The 19,685-nt window shown below is 40.4% G+C and overlaps 1 protein-coding gene, 1 long non-coding RNA gene and 1 pseudogene across 4 annotated transcripts in view; 2 read left to right on the top strand and 1 right to left on the bottom strand.

The window, feature by feature from the left end:
* Positions 1–19,685, bottom strand: part of FANK1 (fibronectin type III and ankyrin repeat domains 1) — a 113,029-nt gene that overhangs the window by 32,783 nt on the left and 60,561 nt on the right. The gene's annotated exons all lie outside the window — the stretch shown is intronic.
* On the top strand, positions 3,537–4,622 carry FANK1-AS1 (FANK1 antisense RNA 1). The gene is made up of 4 exons (NR_102707.1): positions 3,537–3,556; positions 3,686–3,848; positions 3,965–4,073; positions 4,469–4,622. It is a non-coding gene; the product is annotated as an FANK1 antisense RNA 1 (long non-coding RNA).
* GNG10P1 (G protein subunit gamma 10 pseudogene 1) lies at positions 16,380–17,915 on the top strand (annotated as a pseudogene).

The raw sequence follows: 19,685 nt of genomic DNA, 5'->3' as shown, positions 1-19,685 counted from the left end.
CTCTACTAAAAATACAAAAATTAGCCAGGCATAGTGGCAGGCACCTGTAGTCCCAGCTACTCAGGAGGCTGAGGTAGGAGAATCGCTTGAACCTGGGAGGCAGAGACTGCAGTGAGCGGAGATTGTTCCACTGCACTCCAGCCTGGGTGACAGAGCGAGATTCCGTCTCAGGGAAAAAAAAAAAATTTACAATGCAATCACAAGTATTAACAGCTGAATAAACCTAACTGAGGAAAGAATCTCAGAACTTGAAGACTGGTTCTCTGAAATAGGACAGTCAGACAAAAATGAAAAAATAAATAAAAATGAATAAAACCTCAGAGAAGAATGGATTATGTAAAGAGGCCAAATCTACAAATCACTGGCATCCCTGAAAGGGAGAGAGAAAGCAAACAACTTGGAAAATATATTCCTAGATATCATCCCTGAAAACTTCCCTAACCTTACTAGAGGGACCTACAGTCAAACTCAGGAAATACAGGGAACTCCTGCAAGATTCTACACAAGAAGATCATCTTCAAGACACATAATTGTCAGGTTTTCCAACGTTGAAATGAAAGAATGTTAAAGGCAGCTAGAGAGAAAGGGCAGGTCACTTACAAAGGGATCCCCTTAGGCTAACAGTGAAACCCTACAAGCCAGAAGAGATTAGAGGCCTATATTCAACATTCTTTAAAAAAAAAAAAAAAATCTTCAACCAATAATTTCATATCCTGCCAAACTAAGCTTCCTAAGTGAAGGAGAAACAAGATCCTTTTCAGGTAAGCAAATGTTGAGGAACTTCATTACCAGACCTGCCTTATAAGAGATCTTGGAAGGAACAGTAAATATAGAAAGGAAAGACCGCTACCAGCTGATACAAAAATACACTTAAACACACAGACTAGTGTCACTGTAAAGCAACCACACAAACAAGCCAACATAATAACCAGCTAATGACAGGATCAGTGACAGCACCAGCTGACAGGATCAATGATATGATCAAACAGCACAATGTCAGGATCAAATCCACACATATCAATACTAACCTTGAATGTAAACAGGCTAAATGCCCCACTTAAAAGGCACAGAATGGGAGAAAATATTTGCAAACTATGTATCTGACAAAGGTCTAATATCCAGCATCCATAAAGAACTTAAACACATTTACAAGAGAAAAATAAACAACCCCATTAAAAATTGAGCAAAAGACATAAACAGACACTTCTCAAAAGAAGACATACATGTGGCCAACAAGCATATCAAAACCACAAAGAGAGGCCATCTCACACCAGTCAGAATGGCCATTATTAAAAAGCCAAAAAAATAATAGATGCTGGCAAGGTCACAAAGGGAACCTTTATACACTGTTGGTGGGATAAATTTGTTCAACGATTGTGGAAAGCAGTATGGCAATTCCACAAAGAGCTAAAACCAGAACTGCTATTTGACCCAGGAATCCCATTACTGGGTATATACCCAGAGGAATATAAACCATTCTACCATAAACACACATGCATGTGAATGTTCACTGCAGGACTGTTCATAATAGCAAAGACATGGAATCAACCTAAATGTCCATCAATGACAGACTGGATAAAGAAAATGTGGTACATATACACTATGAAATATTATGCAGCCATAAAAAAGAAAGAGATCAGGTCTTGTGCGGGAACATGGATGGAACTGGAGGCTATCATCTTTAGCAATCTAATGCAGGAACACAAAATCAAATACCGCATGTTCTCTTTTATAAGAGGAAGCTAAATGAGAAGAACTTAGGAACACAAAGAAGGAAACAACAGACCCTGGGGTCTACCTGAAGCGGGAGGGTGAGAGGAGCAGAAAAGGTAACTATTGGGTATTGAGCGTATTACCTGGGTGATGTAATACTATGTACAACAAACTCCTGTGACTCATATTTATCTGTGTGACAAACCTTCACACGTACCCCCAAACCTAAAATAAAAATTAAAAAAATAAAAATAGATACACACAAAGACACATAGGACATTACTACAGTTTTCAGCAGTTTACAACAAAACAAAACAAAAGATGACCCATTTATAAGAGACTGGACAAATAAGTTATTCTATGTCCATAAAGTGGAACATTATACACCCTTTGAAAAATGAATTTGTTCTATACTAGGTGCTTTGAAAGGACCTCCACTAAGTATTGTTGGGTGAGAAATCAAGGTGCAAAGAAAAACACAGAATATCTCATTTTTGCCAAAGGTAACAAGGGGTGCAGTAGAGTGTATACCAAGCTGTGTAGCATGCAATTGTTCTATGTTAGTTTTGTCTCCCCTGCTACACTTTAAGTTTCTTACAGGCTGGGTCCATGTCTTACACTTCCTTTGAAACTTCTCCCTGTAACTCAATCCTTCTTGAGCCTCAAATATATCACAGATTTACTGCATTGTTCATTTAAAAAAAAAGGATCTTGTATTTCCCTTGAGCCAATGTCCCAAGTAGCTGACCAGCACCCTCTGAAGACCCAGGGGTCTTCCTGCAGTGCAGACCCACTGACGAAGACAGGGCTGCCCTGGTCTTGCCACCCCAGGCCAGTGGGGCACACAGCCAACAATTTCCCTTACACGAAGACCCCAGAGATATGCTAGGAGGCAGCCTGCAAGCTCACTTTCCCAACTTTATTTTCCAAATGTTTATAGAAAGCATGATGGAATTGGATAAACCTAGGTTTGAATATGTTCTCTGAAACTGAGTTAAAAATACCACAAAGTGTTTTGTGATAATTAAGTTACAAAGTATCTAAATAAATGATGGCATATTTCCTACAGTAAAATCCTATACAACAACTAAAAGAAATTAGCTGTATGAGTTTTGTATACACCTGCATCAACATAGATCAATTCAAAATGGATGGGTGGAAAACATGGGTTGCAAAAGGACACACTACATAACACGCAAAAAACACTACATGTTATTTATGAATGCACAGATATGTAGTAAAAGTTAAAAAGCTGAAGGGAAGAACATACACCACCTCAACAACATAACGGAAGGGATGGGGGCATGATGGGCAGGAGGGGGGTCTTACCAGTATATTTGTAAGGTTTGATTTCTTCATGAAAAGACTTTATGACATATATGGCAAAATGTTAACATCTTAAACCAAATGGTACATTGAGTACATTACCATTTGAAATAATTTTGATATGTTTAAAATATTAGTTTTTGAAAAATAACCATAAAAATCAACAGTATACATTACCCTTATGGGCCTCTTGGTTTTCTTAGAGAAACCAATTTCAGGGTTCTAGATACTGAGGGATACATGTGGAAGAAGGAACTACTGAACCAGACACTGACCTCTTACTGTGAGTCATCTCACTGAATCCCAGCAATTCTGGCTGGTGATGTCACAATGACTCACATCTTCACGTCCTTGTATCACGACATCAGTGTTGAACAAATGATTTTTTTCACAGCCCACTAAAACCAAACACCAGGAATGGTAGACTGTTATGGATTACCCCCAAAATAACCAGAAGCCAACAAGTATTTCAATTCCAAAGACATCCAGCCTAGAATCCTACTAGAGATCAGAACAGGCAAGAAATTCTAAATTAATGTCAAATTTCAAAACAGTTCACCATGAAGTTATATGAGGAGTAAAAAGATAACATTCCCAGAGACCCAAAAGTTTCTTATGGCTTGTTCTTTACTGATCATTGATGTAGGTACATAATGAGAGATCTCCATCAGTGAGCTTGGCACCAGCCACAGGTGGCCCACTGCCACCAGAGCTGGGCACAGGCCCACTTCCAGCTGCTACTCATGATGGAGCAAAAACCCTCACTTCTAGCCATCACCCCTCCAGATCTGGTACAGAGCCCGGAAAAGGTGGGTGTGGTGCTTGGAAAGTTGGTTCGTGTGTGTGTGTGTGTGTGTGTGTGTGTGTGTGTGTGTGTTGGGGGCAGGTAGTGATCCAAATGTAATGGCAGCATGGTCTCTCCAAGGAAGCCTTAGGTGTGAGTGAAGCCTCAGTGAACACACACACGTGTCAGCAATGGACCAGCTGCTGCCAAATCACACAACTACGCAACACGTTGCTCAGAAATGCCAATGGTTAGTGTACGCCCCACTGATAATGTTCCTGCATCTTCTTTACTTTCATACAAAACTCATCAAGATGTAAATCTCCACTTAGGCAAGAGTTGCTTTTTGCAAAAAGCTATTATTGCCAGATAGGACCTGGATGGTCAGGTCATGAATGAATGACCTCATCAGGTAAGAGCTAGTTATTTTCAGAATGCCAAAAAATAGTGGATGGGACCCAATTTGTTTTGCTTTGTTTCTAAGCCAACCTAGAGTAATTTGACAGGTGTATCCTAATCCTTACAATATTAACCCATATACTTTCTACTTTCTCTTTGATAAAAATTCTGGTGTTTTTGTCATCATCTGCTAATATACATATTTTAGGATATTGGTTTTAGGATCCTAAATATGTATATTTACAGGTGACTAGCAGAGTGCAAACATTACTATGACAATGGAGCAGAGGCCCGGGGCGGCACCGAGCCTTGGTAAGAGCCGACAGAAATGGCAGGTCACAGGCCGTCACTGAGGAGAACTGCAATGCGGCAACACTTATATGACACTTAATTTGGGTCATGTACTAGTGTGGATGCTTTATTTATTCATTTAACTTTCACCACATTTAACTTCACCAACTCTATATGCTGTAAGGATTTTTATTATCTCCCTTATAAACAATCTGAGGCACAGAGAAGTTACATAACTTGCCCAAGGTCACACAGAAATAACTGGTAGAACCAGGATTAAAATGAAGATAATCTGGCTCAGAAGTCCCTTACTTTTAACCTTGTACCATACTGCCTCTTAAGAGTAGAGATATAAAATGTAGACCGGAGCGGCCGGGCGCAGTGGCTCACACCTGTAATCCCAGCACTTTACTTTCGGAGGCCAAGGTGGACGAATCACAAAGTCACGAGATCGAGACCATCCTGGCTAACATGGTGAAACCCTGTCTCTACTAAAAATACAAAAAAATTAGCCGGCCGTGGTAGCGGGCACCTGTAGTCCCAGCTACTCAGGAGGCTGAGGCAGGAGAATGGCGTGAACCCAGGAGGCGGAGTTTGCAGTGAGCCAAGATCATGCCACCGCACTCCAGCCTGGGCGACGGAGCGAGACTCCGTCTCAGAAAAATGTAGACCAGGGTGAAAAATCTACTATTAGTTCGTTCTCCAGATTTCCTTAAATTATTCATTTTAAATCAGGTCTAGCTTGTGAACTGGCTTGAACCCCAAGGAAATTTTTAAATGATCAAGAAAACTTGGTCAGAAAAAGTGAGACAATGCAAACCAGGTAATTGTTTGAATAAAGTAGAGAGATGTTGTGTGCAAGCAGAAGAGAAGGCAACTTATTATAGCACCGAGGTCAGGGAGGCTGCTGACCTTCAGGAGCCCAGTCCAGGAAAGGAAAGATGGTATAGAAAGCCCATAGCAACCAGTAGTGGAGACCAAGAAGGCAGAGAGTTTGACTGATGTTTACTTGCAGACACTATGGGAATGGGTAGGAAGCCAGTCAAATGCTGCATTAGGTTCAGCATGAAATCTGGAAGAGGAAGAGTTGCATCAACAGGAGGGAAAGGCTATAGAATGTGGGTGAAACAATTAGCAAGATAGCTCATAGATAAATCTGAAAAGATTGTATATACTTAGGGCAGAAAGCACATATCACAGTGGAAAAGTACTCTGAATTTACTACTAATACATGAACAAGTCTATTTGTAAATGTTATCACCCCCAAGTTTTATAATACAGCTAAAGTTGCAAGGAGAGGTAAGTATATCTGTGACTATAGTCCTGGCTCACTTGACACTAGGACTTAACCATGCTGGATGTATAACAAGTAACACATCTTTCCTAAGGTGACAAAAATCAACATTTTGAAAAATTCAAGCTCAAGCTCTCCCTCTCCCTCTCCCGTCTCCTGCTTTCCACGGTCTTCCCCTCTCCCTCGTCTCCATCTCTCACTTTCCACGGTCCCCCTCTGTTGCCGAGGCTGGACTGTACTGCCGCGATCTCGGCTCACTGCAACCTCCCTGCCTGATTCTCCTGCCTCAGCCTGCCGAGTGCCTGGGATTGCAGGCGCGCGCTGTCACGCCTGACTGGTTTTTGTATTTTTTGGTGGAGAAGGGGTTTCGCCGTGTTGGCCCGGCTGGTCTCCAGCTCCTGACCTCGAGTGATCTGCCCACCTCGGCCTCCCGAGGCGCCGGGATTGCAGACGGAGTCTCGCTCACTCAGTGCTCAATGCTGCCCAGGCTGGAGTACAGTGGTGTGAACCTCCACCTCCCAGCTGCCTGCCTTGGCCTCCCAAAGTGCGGAGATTGCAGCCTCTGCCCGGCCACCACCCCGTCTAGGAAGTGAGGAGCGTCTCTGCCTGGCCGCCCATCGTCTGGGATGTGGGGAGCGCCTCTGCCCGGCCGCCCCATCTGGGAGGTGAGGAGCGCCTCCGCCCGGCCGCCGCCCCGTCTGGGAGGCAGGGGGCGCCCCCGCCCAGCAGCCGCCCCATCTGGAAGGCAGGGGCGCCTCTGCCTGGCCGCCCCCTCTGGGGGGTGGGGGGCCCCTCTGCCCAGCCACCACGTCTGGGAAGTGAGAAGCCCCTCTGCCCGGCCGCCACCCCGTCTGGGAGGTGTACCCAACAGCTCATTGAGAACGGGCCATGATGACGATGGCGGTTTTGTCGAATAGAAAAGGGGGAAATGTGGGGAAAAGAAAGAGAGATCAGATTGTTACTGTGTCTGTGTAGAAAGAAGTAAACATAGGAGACTCCATTTCGTTCTGTACTAAGAAAAATTCTTCTGCCTTGGGATGCTGTTAATATATAACCTTACCCCCAACCCCATGCTCTCTGAAACATGTGCTGTGTCAACTCAGGGTTAAATGGATTAAGGGCAGTGCAAGATGTGCTTTGTTAAACAGATGCTTGAAGGCAGCATGCTCGTTAAGAGTCATCACCAATACCTAATCTCAAGTACCCAGGGACACAAACACTGGGGAAGGCCACAGGGTCCTCTGCCTAGGAAAACCAGAGACCTTTGTTCACATGTTTATCTGCTGACCTTCTCTCCACTATTGTCCTATGACCCTGCCAAATCCCCCTCTCCGAGAAACACCCAAGAATGATCAATAAATACTAAAAAAAATTTAAAAAAAAAGAAAAATTCAAAAGCTGATCTTTTTTGCTATTTATTTAACCATGATGTTTATATCCCTATCTGTATTTATCTGTTATCAGTACAAACACTCTTGAGAACTGTTTTTATAGATGCTCTATTCAAGTTTTATAAAACAGATACAACACACCCACAGATACACATTCATAGACACAACTTACATGCTACTTTTTATACAAAAGTTTTAGAACTATTTTTTCTTGGTCATAAGTAAGTCTCAGATCTTTCAAAAGGTACTTTTTTTTTTTTTTAAGTCTGATAACCAGCATCCAAATTTAACCAACTAATTTCATCACAAAGTCAGGCTTTAATTTTATTTTAACTTTTCTAAAGATTTTGTTTTCTAAAAAATTTTCTAAAGAGTTTGTTTTCTAAAAAAAGCAAAAAGAAAAAGGAGACCTTATGTTCAATTTTCAATGGTTCTTTCAAATAATTGGTAGGATCTTTTCATCATGACAAATATTTCTTATTTTAAAAGTTTCTCAAATAATGAAAAAGGAAGAACAACAGTAAAACTACAAGAAGTACCTCAAAAGGACGATTATGAGAATTTATGGATGTGTTACGTACCATAAAAGCTTTTTGTAAGAAAGTTCTTATGCAAATCTGACAAATAAAACAATTTTATGCCTCTGGTGCCACTTGTCAAGTAATAAATGGGAATATAGAATAATAAAGGGCTTCATACACTGTCGCCACTCAGTCCCTATGGTTACTCAGAAGATGGCATAAAACATGGCTCAAGTACATCAGAAACCATAGTAAAAAGGTATCACTCACAAATTATAGGTTTGAACGTAGAAAACTATAAAATTTATGTAAACCACTACACAATATTAGGCTTAGCATCCTACATTTTTTAAAAGGATTGTAAAAGAAATGCACCAAGAGGAGACTCAAAAAACAAATTAGTAAAACAAAAAAAATCAGATTATTCAGCATCTTTATGATAAATAGTTGACCATATCTCAAAAGCTACAGAGAGAAGTGGTGATCATACACTGTATTGGAATTTGCAATTGTGATTTGTATCATGAAAAGTGGGAAATGATAAAGAAAAAAAACAAATATAAATATATTCACTATATAAAAACAGAACACCTTAAAGCAGAATTGTAGTTTCCCTGCTCTTCCAAAACTCATCTGAAAATTTACCGAAGTCAAATTTCACTGGCAAGGGGCATCTGCAGTCTAGCCTCCGGTGGCATATGGTCCACAGTGAAGATGACTGCACACTGAGGGGGATGCTATATGAGAACAGTGGTGGCTGTCACCTCAAAGCAGTTTATCATGGCTTGATCAGATATTTACAGCAACCATTAATCAAAAATACGTTCTAGGTCAGGTGCAGTGGCCAACCAACATCTGTAATCCCAACACTTTTGGAGGCCAAGGTGAGAGGATCACATGAGGCCAGGAAGAGACCAGCCTAGGCAACCTAGAGAGACCCTATCATCATGCCACTGCACTCCAGCCTGAGCGAAAGAGCAAGACCCTGTCTCAGAAAGAAAAAAAAAAAAGAAGAAATTAAAATAACTGTAAGGTACCATTTTACCTATAAAATTATATGAAAAACATGTAATGGTAATAATATTCAGTGTTGTTTAAGACTGTGATAAAACCGTTTTAGATTGAGCATTACACTGTATATTACACAATTCTTTAAAAAAACAATTTGGCTGTATTCAAAAATGGTTGTAAGATCTCCTACTTTGTGGTCTCACTTCTAGAAACACATTCAAGAAATAAATTCAGAAATCAAAAAATAAATATAAAAGCTAAAATGTTTTTGCATTGTATGTGCTTTTATTTTTATTATGAAAAAAGTTTCTGTCTGGGCATGCTGGCACATGCCTGTAGTCCCAGCTACTTGGGAAGCTGAAGTGGGAGGATCAGTTGAGCCCAGGAGGTTGAGGCTGCAGTGAGCTATGATTGTACCACTGCATCCCAGCCTGGGCTACAGAATGAGACCCTGTCTCAAAAAAATAAATAAATGAATAAAAATTTCAACATAAAAAGTAGAACGAATAGTATAGCAAATCCTCTTGTATCTGTTACCCAGCTTCAATTATCAGCACAATTAGGGCCAACTCTATTTTACCTAGGAGTCCATCCAACATCCCTGCCCAAACCTGGGTTATTTAATAGCTAAGTTTTCACAAGACTTTGTATGAGTGTTCTAAACTCTTTACATATACTATTTAATCTTCACAACAACCTTATAAACTGCTATAACTTTCCTCCTACCTTTTACCTGTAAGACTGGAGGCACACAGAGGTCCCATAATTTGCCGGGGAGTCCATGCAACAAGCAGCAGAGCCAGGATTCAAACCCAGGGAGCCCAACTCCAGCGGCGTGCCCTTAACTTTCCATGTGCTATCTACTACTGCCCTATGTTTAACTACATACACACATGCATAAATCACAACAAAAAATAAAAACCAGAGAGGAACACTTTAATACCACTGACAGCAATGAAAACTAATCTAAATGTCCAAGAACATGGAATTTGTTAGATACACTTTGGTACATTATTTATATACAAGAATATTTAGTCATTAAAAGTGTGGAAGATGATATACTAAGGAAAGGGTACGAACTTACAAAGATGCTATGATTATAATGGCATAAAATGTACAGATGCACGCAGACAGAAGAACTGAAAGAATTTAGAAAAACAAAAGACAAAATAGTAGCATTATGGCTGATTTTTTGGTATTATTTTAAGCTGGTATAGTACTGAATAAAGGGGGAAAAAACAAAATGTAACTGAGCACTTTTACTTATTCTTATGGAAAAAAGATTCAGCTAAGACAAACTACTAGCCTAGACTCTTCCTTGCTGAGCTTATACATATATGATAGCAACAAGTCTGATAAAAATAAACCAAGAATAAGTCAATGTGGATGCTTCAAAGCATGAGACACTTCAATTACACTCTGGCTCAATTTATTGACCATTTTGGTGTCAAGCAGATATCCTGCTTGACATTTATTTCCAAGGAAAAAGTTTACTTACACCCATTCATTCAGCACACTTGTGGGATACCTCTCCTGTGTCCTGAGGGCACAGGTGTAACCAAGATGACCAAGAGGGAAGGGCAAAGAGAGGAGCAGGGAACATTGGACACCAAACAAATACAAACCAGGTGCATGGGGGAGGCAGGTGCAGAGGGAGCCTACAGGAAGACGTGTTCAAAATGCATATAGTTTACATATATTCTAATCTGGGAATGAGGTGCCTTAAGTGAGGTCTCGGGATAAAGAGGCAAGTCTGGCAGAGCCTGCAGGCAAAGAATACATCATCTAATGAAAACATTTCAATATACTTAAATTTTCTTATATTTTTTATCCCAAAACATTCCTTATCCTTTAAAAGTAAGTAACGTAAGTGCAAACTGCCCAAAAGTTGCTTTCCTCTACTTTGCTAGTAAGTTCTTCAAGGGCAAAAATCAGTTCAAACATCAAAAACCAAATAGCAAAAACAATAAAAGACAAAACTCCCTAGAGTAGTAATGGGGAAACATTGCTTCCTTTTGTGTCTCTACCATGGATATTCCTCATCAGGAAAAGTGGGGGATAAGTAAGGATACCTGTCCTGCCTCCCTCTCAGATTTACTGCAAACAAAAAAATAATGTGACAAAATACTGAAGTGATTTGAAATGTATAAAGGACTTCACGAACATAAGGTAGTGATAATGCCTTTGAAAGTCACAATGCTCACCTATTTCACACTTTTAACTACAAGGAAACCCTGCTTGGAGTTCTATATGGGTAACAGGTAGTAGGCAAAGAAGGAAATGTACTTCCCAAGATATTTCCTTTACTTAATTACAACAACTTCAATTTACTGCAGGCTTGCTCTAAGCAAAAAATCATACAGGACACTTGGTCAACAACGGATTCAACCTCACGATGATGGGGTGTTCTCAATTTATAGATGAGGACAGAGAGGAGGAGACCAAGGCTCAAAGAAGTACAGCAGCCTGTTCAAAGCTACAGAACTGATAAGTGGAGAGCAAGGATTTCAATCCAGATCTCTAACTCCAAAATCTGTGCTCTTTCCCCCACAGGCTGTGCCTGGTATGGAGCTCCTGAGATCTTCTATGGAAATGCACACTGAGTGTGTAAAATGACAAAGTCTTTCACAATCAGATAAGAAAAGCCAAATTGTTATATATATATTCTTTAGACACAGTATGTCACAAGTCTAAAATATATTCACAGTAAGAAATGGTAGGATACTTTCACAATAGCAAAGTGTTCAAATGGATCAGCTTATATTCACTCTTAAGAAAAATGTGCTACTGAAGAATATGACCAAGCAATTCAGGAGGATTGCCAGTGAAACCTACTCAACCTCACTGAAAATCAAAATGATGCAATTACAATGATGACATTTTGCATTCATCAAGTTTGTTTATTTGTTTATTTATTTATTTAGAGACGGAGTTTTGCTCTTTGTTGCCCAGGCTGGAGTGCAATCTTGGCTCTGCTCGCCACAACCTCTGCCTCCCGGGTTCAAATGATTCTCCTGCCTCAGCCTCCCAAGTAGCTGGGATTATAGGCATGCACCACCACACATGGCTAATTCTGTATTTTTAGTAGAGACAGGGTTTCTGCATGTTAGTCAGGCTGGTCTCGAACTCCCAACCTCAGGTGCTCCGCCAGCCTTGGCCTCCAAAAGTGCTGGTCATCAAGTTCATTAAATCTAAAATCTGCCAATAGCAGTGAAGAGGAAGAGTGGAACACTCTCAAACTGCCAGTAGAGTATAAATTGGGAAATCTCTTTGGAAAACAAGTTGGCAAGGCTAAGTTGAGGTTGTGCATTCTCTATCATCCTGCAATTCCACTCCTAGGTATGGTCCCTTACATGTGTAAGAATGTTCATGGCAGCTTTACATTTAACAGAAATGGAAAACTACTGAAATGGCCAGCATGAGAAGACTGGACAAATTATGAATAATCAAACATTAGCATACCATATAGCAGTTAAGACTAAAGTTAAAATTAATTGGGGCTAAATATATCCATGTGAATAAATCGAGGGTAAGGTCGAATCACAAAAGAAAGTTGTAAAACGTTATGTAGAGAATGATACAATATAGGTCAGGTGCAGTGGTTCACACCTGTGATTCCAGCACTTTCGGAGGCCTAGACGGGTGGATCACTTGAGGTCAGGAGTTCAAGACCAGCCTGGCCAACATAGTGAAACCCCATCTGCACTAAAAATACAAAAATTAGCTGGGCACGGTGGCGCACACCTGTGGTCTGAGCTACTCAGGAGGCTGAGGCAGGAGAATCACTTGAGTCCAGGAGGTGGAGGTTGCAGCGAGCAGAGATTGAGCCACTGAACTCCAGCCCGGGTGACGGAGCATGACTCCATCTCAAAAAAAAAAAAAAAAAAAAAAAAGAGAGAGAGAATGATATAATCTACATAATATTTGATTAAAACTATATCACAGACAGAGGAAGAGGAAAAATAGGATGAAAGAAAAATAATTTTGTCAGCAATGATTTGTTTCTTAAGCTAAGTGGTGGCATGTGAGTATTTTACATATTTTATGTCTGAACTATTTAATAAAAGAACAAAGTACTGCATACATGGATATATTTCTCTCCTTTTTTTTGTCTTACCCTTCTCCCAACTAAATAGGTATCCAGGTAAGCTGCACTGCAAAATTATCTTAAAATGTTTTTTTTTATTATTATACTTTAAGTTCTAGGGTACATGTGTACAACGTGCAGGTTTGTTACATATATATACATGTGCCATGTTGGTGTGCTGCACCCATTATCTCGTCATTTACATTAGGTATTTCTCCTAATGCTATCCCTCCCCCCTACCCACACCCCATGACAGGCCCCAGGGTGTGATGTTCCCCTTCCTGTGTTCAAGTGTTCTCACTGTTCAATTCCCACCTATGAGTGAGAACATGTGGTGTTTGGTTTTTTGTCCTTGCGATAGTTTGCTGAGAATGATGGTTTCCAGCTTCATCCATGTCCCTACAAAGGACATGAACTCATCCTTTCTTATGGCTGCATAGTATTCCATGGTGTATATGTGCCACATTTTCTTAATCCAGTCTATGGTTGGACATTTAGGTTGGTTCCAAGTCTTTGCTATTGTGAATAGTGCCGCAATAAACGTACCTGTGCATGTGTCTGTATAGCAGCATGATTTATAATCCTTTGGGTAGATACCCAGTAATGGGATGGCTGGGTCAAATGGTATTTCTAGTTCTACATCCTTGAGGAATCACCACACTGTCTCCCACAATGGTTGAACTAGTTTACAGTCCCAGCAACTGTGTAAAAGTGTTCATATTTCTCCACACCTGTAATCCCAACACTTCGGGAGACCGAGGCAGGTGGATCACCTGAGGTCAGGAGTTTGAGACCAGCCTGGCCAACATGGTGAAACCTCATCTCTACTAAAAATACAAAAATTAGCCGGGCATGGTGGTGGGCACCTGTAATCCCAGCTACTCAGGAGGCTGAGGCAGAATCGCTTGAACCCAGGAGACAGAGGTTGCAGTGAGCAGAGCTCACACACCACTGCACTCCAGCCTGGGCGACAGAGCGAGACTCCATCTGAAAAAAAAAAAAAAACCACAGTAATAATAATAATGTATCAACATTGGTTCATTATTTGCAACAAATGCACCATATTCATGTAAAATGTTAATAATAGGGGAAAATGGGTGCAAATTATGTGAGAATTCTGAGAAATATATTTGTACTTTATAAATCTAAAATTTTTATAAAAATAAATTTTTCAAAAATCACCAATATGCAAGGAAACGAAATAACAGTAACAGAAAGAAAAAAATCAAGAGAAATAAACCCAGAAATGACATCTATGACACAATTAGTAAACAAATACATTATCCTGTCAGTACACTGTCTTCGAGAAGATAAAAACATGAGCATTGTAATATTTTAAAAATACTTAGAACTGTTAAAAATAAAAAATACAAAATTGAAAAATGGAATTAACAGCAGGTTATACTCGGCAGAAAACTGTATCAATCAATGAAAAGAAATAGCAATTTTAAAAACTGACAAAACAAAGGAGACAGAAAAAATGACTGAGAATAAATTAAGAGCACCAGTGACCTAAAGGACAATATCAAGCAGTCTAACATACGTGTAATTGTAGTCCAAGGAAGAGACGAGAAACAAGAAACAAAATGTTTGAAATAATGGTCCAAATTTCCTAAATTTGATGAAAAGCATAAACCCACAAATCCAACAACCCCAAGCAGAATAAACTTAAGAAAATTATGCCAAGTAGCATTCTAATGTAATTGCTAGGATTCAGTGGAAAATCTTAGAAGCAGCTATGGTGGGTGCAAGGGGGTCTACAGAAAAACAAAGAAAGACAGCAGACCTCTCTTCAGAAGCATGTAAGCTGACAGCAGAGTAGAGATGCCTTTAAAGTATTCAGATTGTTTTTTGCTGTTGAGATGTTCGAGCTCCTTGGATATTCTGGATATTAATCCCATCAGATGAATAGCTTGCAAATATTTTCTCCCATTCTGTAGGTTGCCCTTTCACTGTGTTTATTGTTTCCTTTGCTGTGCAGAAGCTTTTTTGTTTGATGTAATCTCATTTGTTTACTTTTGCTTTTGTTGCCTGTGCTTTTGTTTTTTAGAGGCAAGCTTCTGCTCTATCACCCAGGCTAGGGGGCAGTAGTTTGATAGTAGCTCACTGCAGCCTTGGATTGCTGGACTCAAGTGATCCACCTGCCTGAGCTCCCTGAGTAGCTGGGACTACAGGTACATACCATCACATCTGGCTAACTTTTATTTTTTGAAAAGACAGGGTCTCATTATGTTGCCTAGGCTGGTCTTAAACTCCTGAGCTCAAGTGATTTGTTGACTGCTTTTGAGGTCTTATTCATAAAATATTTTCCCAGACCAATGTCCTGAAGGGCTTCCCCCTATGTTTTCTTGTAGTAGTTTTATGGTTTCAGATCTTACATTTAGGTCTTTGATCCATTTTGAGTTTCAGATCTTACATTTAGGTCTTTGATCCATTTTGAGTTTATTTTCATATAGGGTGAGAGGTGAGGGTCTATTTTCATTCTTCTGCCTATGGATATCTAGTTTTCCCAGCATCACTTATTGAAGAGATTATCCTTTCCCCAGTGAGTATTCTTGCTGCCTTTGTCAAAAATCAGTTGGTAGCCAGGCATGGTGGCTCATGCCTGTAATCCCAGCACTTTGGGAGGCTAAGGCAGGAGAATCATTTGACCCCAGGGGTTTCAAGACCAGCCTACACAATATAGTGAGACTCTGTCTCCACAGAAAATTTTTAAAAGTTAGCTAGGCATGGTTGCACGTACCTGTAGTCCCTGCTACTCAGGAGGCTGAAGTACGAGGATTTCTTAAGCCCAGGAAGTAAAGGTTACAGTGAGCCATGATCATGCCATTGCACTCCAGCCTGGGAGATGGAGTGAGACACTGTCTCAAAAAATAAAAAATTTTTAAAAAGCAGTTGGCTGTAGACGAATACATTACTTTCTGTGTGGTCTATTCTGTTCCATTAGTCTATGTGTCTGTTTTTATGACAGTACCATGCTGTCTTCATTACTACAGCTTTGTAGTATATTTTGAAGTCTGACAGTGTATACCTCCAGCTTTCTTTTTGCTCAGGATTGCTTTGGCTATTGGGAGTCTTTTGTGGTTCAATATAAATTTTAAGATTTTTTTTATTTCTATGAAGAATGTCATTGGTATTTTGATAAAGACTGCATTGAGGCCAGGGCACAGTGGCTCACGCCTGTAATCCCAGCACTTTGGGAGGCCGAGGCGGGCAGATAACAAGGTCAGGAGATCGAGACCATCCTGGCTAACACAGTGAAACTGTATTTTTTGTCTCTACTAAAAATACAAAAAAAATTAGCTGGGCATGGTGGTGGGCGCCTGTAGTCCCAGCTACTCTGGAGGCTGAGGCAGAAGAATGACATGAACCCGGGAGGTGGAGCTTGCAGTGAGCCAAGATCGCACCACTGCACTCCAGCCTGGGCAACAGAGCGAGATTCCATCTCAAAAGATTGCATTGAATCTGTAGATTGCTTTGGATAGTATGGTCCTTTCAACAATATTGGCAGTGCCCACGCTCAGGGCCTGGCAGGGCTGACCCGCCTAGCGTGGCTCAACCACCCTTGGAGCACACTGCTGCTACCATGTCTTCCAGGGCCAGCAAGAGTGCCCTGCAGCGCCTGGTGGAGCAGCTCAAGCTGCAGGTCGGCGTGGAGAGGATCAAGGTCTCTCAGGCAGCTGCAGAGCTGCAACAGTACTGCATGCAGAATGCCTGAAAGGATGCCCTGCTGGTCAGTGTTCCAGCAGGAAGTAACCCCCCTCCTGGAGTCCAGATCCTGTGCTTTACCCTGAAGACTCTAGGAAAGAAGTCTGCAGAGGAATGCCTTCAAGTACAAAGTGATAAATGACTGCCTCCAAGCCTCAAGAGAAGGCTTTTCCCTAGTCAAGTGACATATAGTTATTTCAGACCTTTCCTGTAGCCTTGTCCTATAACCAAAATTCTACAGAAATTGGTGAGTTTCTACTCAACTGAGGAAACTGGGAGAAGAAATATAGCTCTAAATAATAACAGTATGGGTTTTTTGTTTGTTTGTTTTTGGTGAAGTGCTTTATATGTAAGACAAAAACCTTACCACCAGATACGTCAAAATGTACCTCTTTCATAAGTGAATTACTGATGTTTCTATACCTAGAATATCATGTATGTTTTATTTACTGGATGTTTACATTTAGGAAGGAAAACATTTTATTTAAAAAATTGAATATTTGTTATCTGTTGCTCCTGACAAATATTTTTATACCAAATTCTACAAAATGTGTTCTGCTCATGAATTTACAATTTCTAAATGAAGGCAAGAAAGTACAAATTGCTGGGGAAAAGAGTAGGTTTTACTAATTAACTGATGCCTTGATTTTTCCAAATGAGAAGGTTGTTTCATTTTTTAACACTTAACACGGGAGCTGTTTCTTAGCAAACTCATCCAGAAAGATTAATTTTATGTTGGGCATTAGGTTGCCCCATCGTATATATAGATTAGATGAAGCAGATTCAGTCTTTGTATTCTTAAGTTTTTCTGCTTGTAGTTGTGGTTGTACCTAAATACATTATTTCGTATCTTTTTTTTTTTTTTTTTTTTGAGACAGAGTCTCATTCTGTCACTCAGGCTGGAATGCAGTGGCATGATCTCAGTTCCTTGTAACCTCAGCCTCCCGGGTTCAAACAACTCCCCTGCCTCAGCCTCCCAAGTAACTGTGATATGTGATTACAGGTACATGCCACAACGCCCAGCTAATTTGTGTGTGTGTGTGGATTTTTAGTAGAGGCAGGGTTTTACCATGTTGGCCAGGCTGGTCTCGAACTCCTGACCTCAAGCAATCCACACACCTTGGCCTCCCAAAGTGCTGGGATTACAGGCATGAGCCACCATGCTCGGCCTATTTCATGTCTTAAGAAATGTTTAAATATGACTCGAAGAACATTGTAAATAGTTAAAAACAAAGTAATGTAAAATACTACAACCTAAAATAATTCTTAATGTCACAAGTGTTTTATTTATTTTGATGCCGTGCCTTTGATTTGATTTGGGGCTTTCAGAAGACAACTTTGTGTTTGCAATAATCTTTAAAGAGCTTGGAAATAAAATTTCTGCTTAATTCAAAAAAATTAATTCCTCTGATCCATGAGCATGGGATGTCTTTCCATTTGTTTGTATTCTCAAACTATGCAACTTAAATATAGGCAAATGATCTAAAGACATTTCTCAAAAGAAGACAAACAAATGGCCAAGAAATATATTTTTTAAATGCTCAACATTATTAATTATAAAGGGAAATGCAACTCTAAATCACAGTGAGGTATCACCTCACTGGAGGATGGCTATTATCAAAAGACAAAATAACAAATGCTAGTGAGGATGTAGAGAAAAGGGAACTCTTAAACACTCTTGGTGGGAATGTAAAGTAGTATAGCCGCTATGGAAAACAGTATGGAGGTTCCTCAAAAAACTACAAAAGGCTTGGCATGGTGGCTCATGCCTGTAATCCCAGCACCTTAGGAGGCCAAGGCTGGCCAATCACTTGAGACCAGGAGTTCGAGACCTAGCCTGGCCAACATGGCGAAACCCCGTAAGACATGCCTGCTTCCTCTTTCACCCTGATTGTAAGTTTCCTGAGGCCTCTTCAGCCATGCAGAACTATGAATCAATTAAGCCTCTTTTTAAATTACCCAGTCTCGGGCAGTTCTTCATAGCAATGTGAAAACAGACTAATACAGAAGCTAAAAAAAATGTTGATCACACAGAAGTAAAAAAGAGAACAGAGGATACTAGAGGCTGGGAAGGGTAAAGGGAGCAGAGAGATAGGAAGAGGTTTGCTAAAGGATACAAAATTACAGCTAGATAGGAGGAATTAGTTCTAGAGTTCTACAGTACTGTAGAATGACTATAGTTAACAGTAATACATAGTTTCAAATAGCTAGAAAGAGAATATTTAATGTTCACCCTCCCAAAATAATGTTCCAGACGATATGCTAATTACCCTGATGCGATCACTGTACACTTTATGCACCAAAACATCACTATATACCCCATAAATATGGGCCAAAAAAGTCAATTAAAAATGTAAAAGAAACCAATTTTTTAAATATTAAAAAAAAAGTACTCAGAAGGAAAGTGTGTCAAACTAGAACTCTTTACCTAGTGACATTATCTTTAAAAAATAAAGGCAAGGCCGGGCATGGTGGCTCACGCCTATAACCTCAGCACTTTGGGAGGCCAAGGCGAAGGGATTACCTGAGGCCAGGAGTTTGCGACCAGCATGGACAACATGGTAAAATCCCATCTCTACTAAAAGTACAAAAATCAGCCGGGTGTGGTGCCGGGTGCCTGTAGTCCCAGCTTCTCGGGAGGCTGAGGCATGAGAATTGCTTGAATTTGGGAGATGGAGGTTGCAGTGAGTGGAGATCATGCCAGCACACTCCAGCCTGGGCAACAGAGCAAGACTCCGTCTCAAAAAAATAAAAATAAAGGCAAAATAAAAGCTTAACATAAACCAAGCTGAGAGAGCTCATCGCTAATACACCTGAACCATACAAAATGTTAAAGGAAGTTCCTCAGGCAGAAGAGAAACCATACAAGATACAAATCTGGATCTACACAAAGTAACAAAGAGCCCTAACAAAGGCAAGTATGTGGGTAAATATAAAATATGTTGTCTGCCTACAACAAAAATAACAACGTTTTGTGAGGTTAATAGGATATGCAAAAGCAACATAGAGGATAACAACAGCACAGAGTCTGGGGCCTGGAAGAATACTGTCGTAAGGTTCTTGTGCATAACATCAAGCAGTGGGGTATTATTTGAAGGAAGATTGTGATATGTTAAAGATGTCTACAGTAAGCCAGGTGCGGTGGCTCACGCCTGTAATC

The sequence above is a fragment of the Homo sapiens genome, chromosome 10, assembly GCF_000001405.40.
Source record: "Homo sapiens chromosome 10, GRCh38.p14 Primary Assembly".
In the NCBI taxonomy this organism is placed as follows: domain Eukaryota; kingdom Metazoa; phylum Chordata; class Mammalia; order Primates; family Hominidae; genus Homo; species Homo sapiens.
Note: the sequence above shows the minus strand (reverse complement) of the source record. Positions and strands in the feature narration are given on the sequence as shown.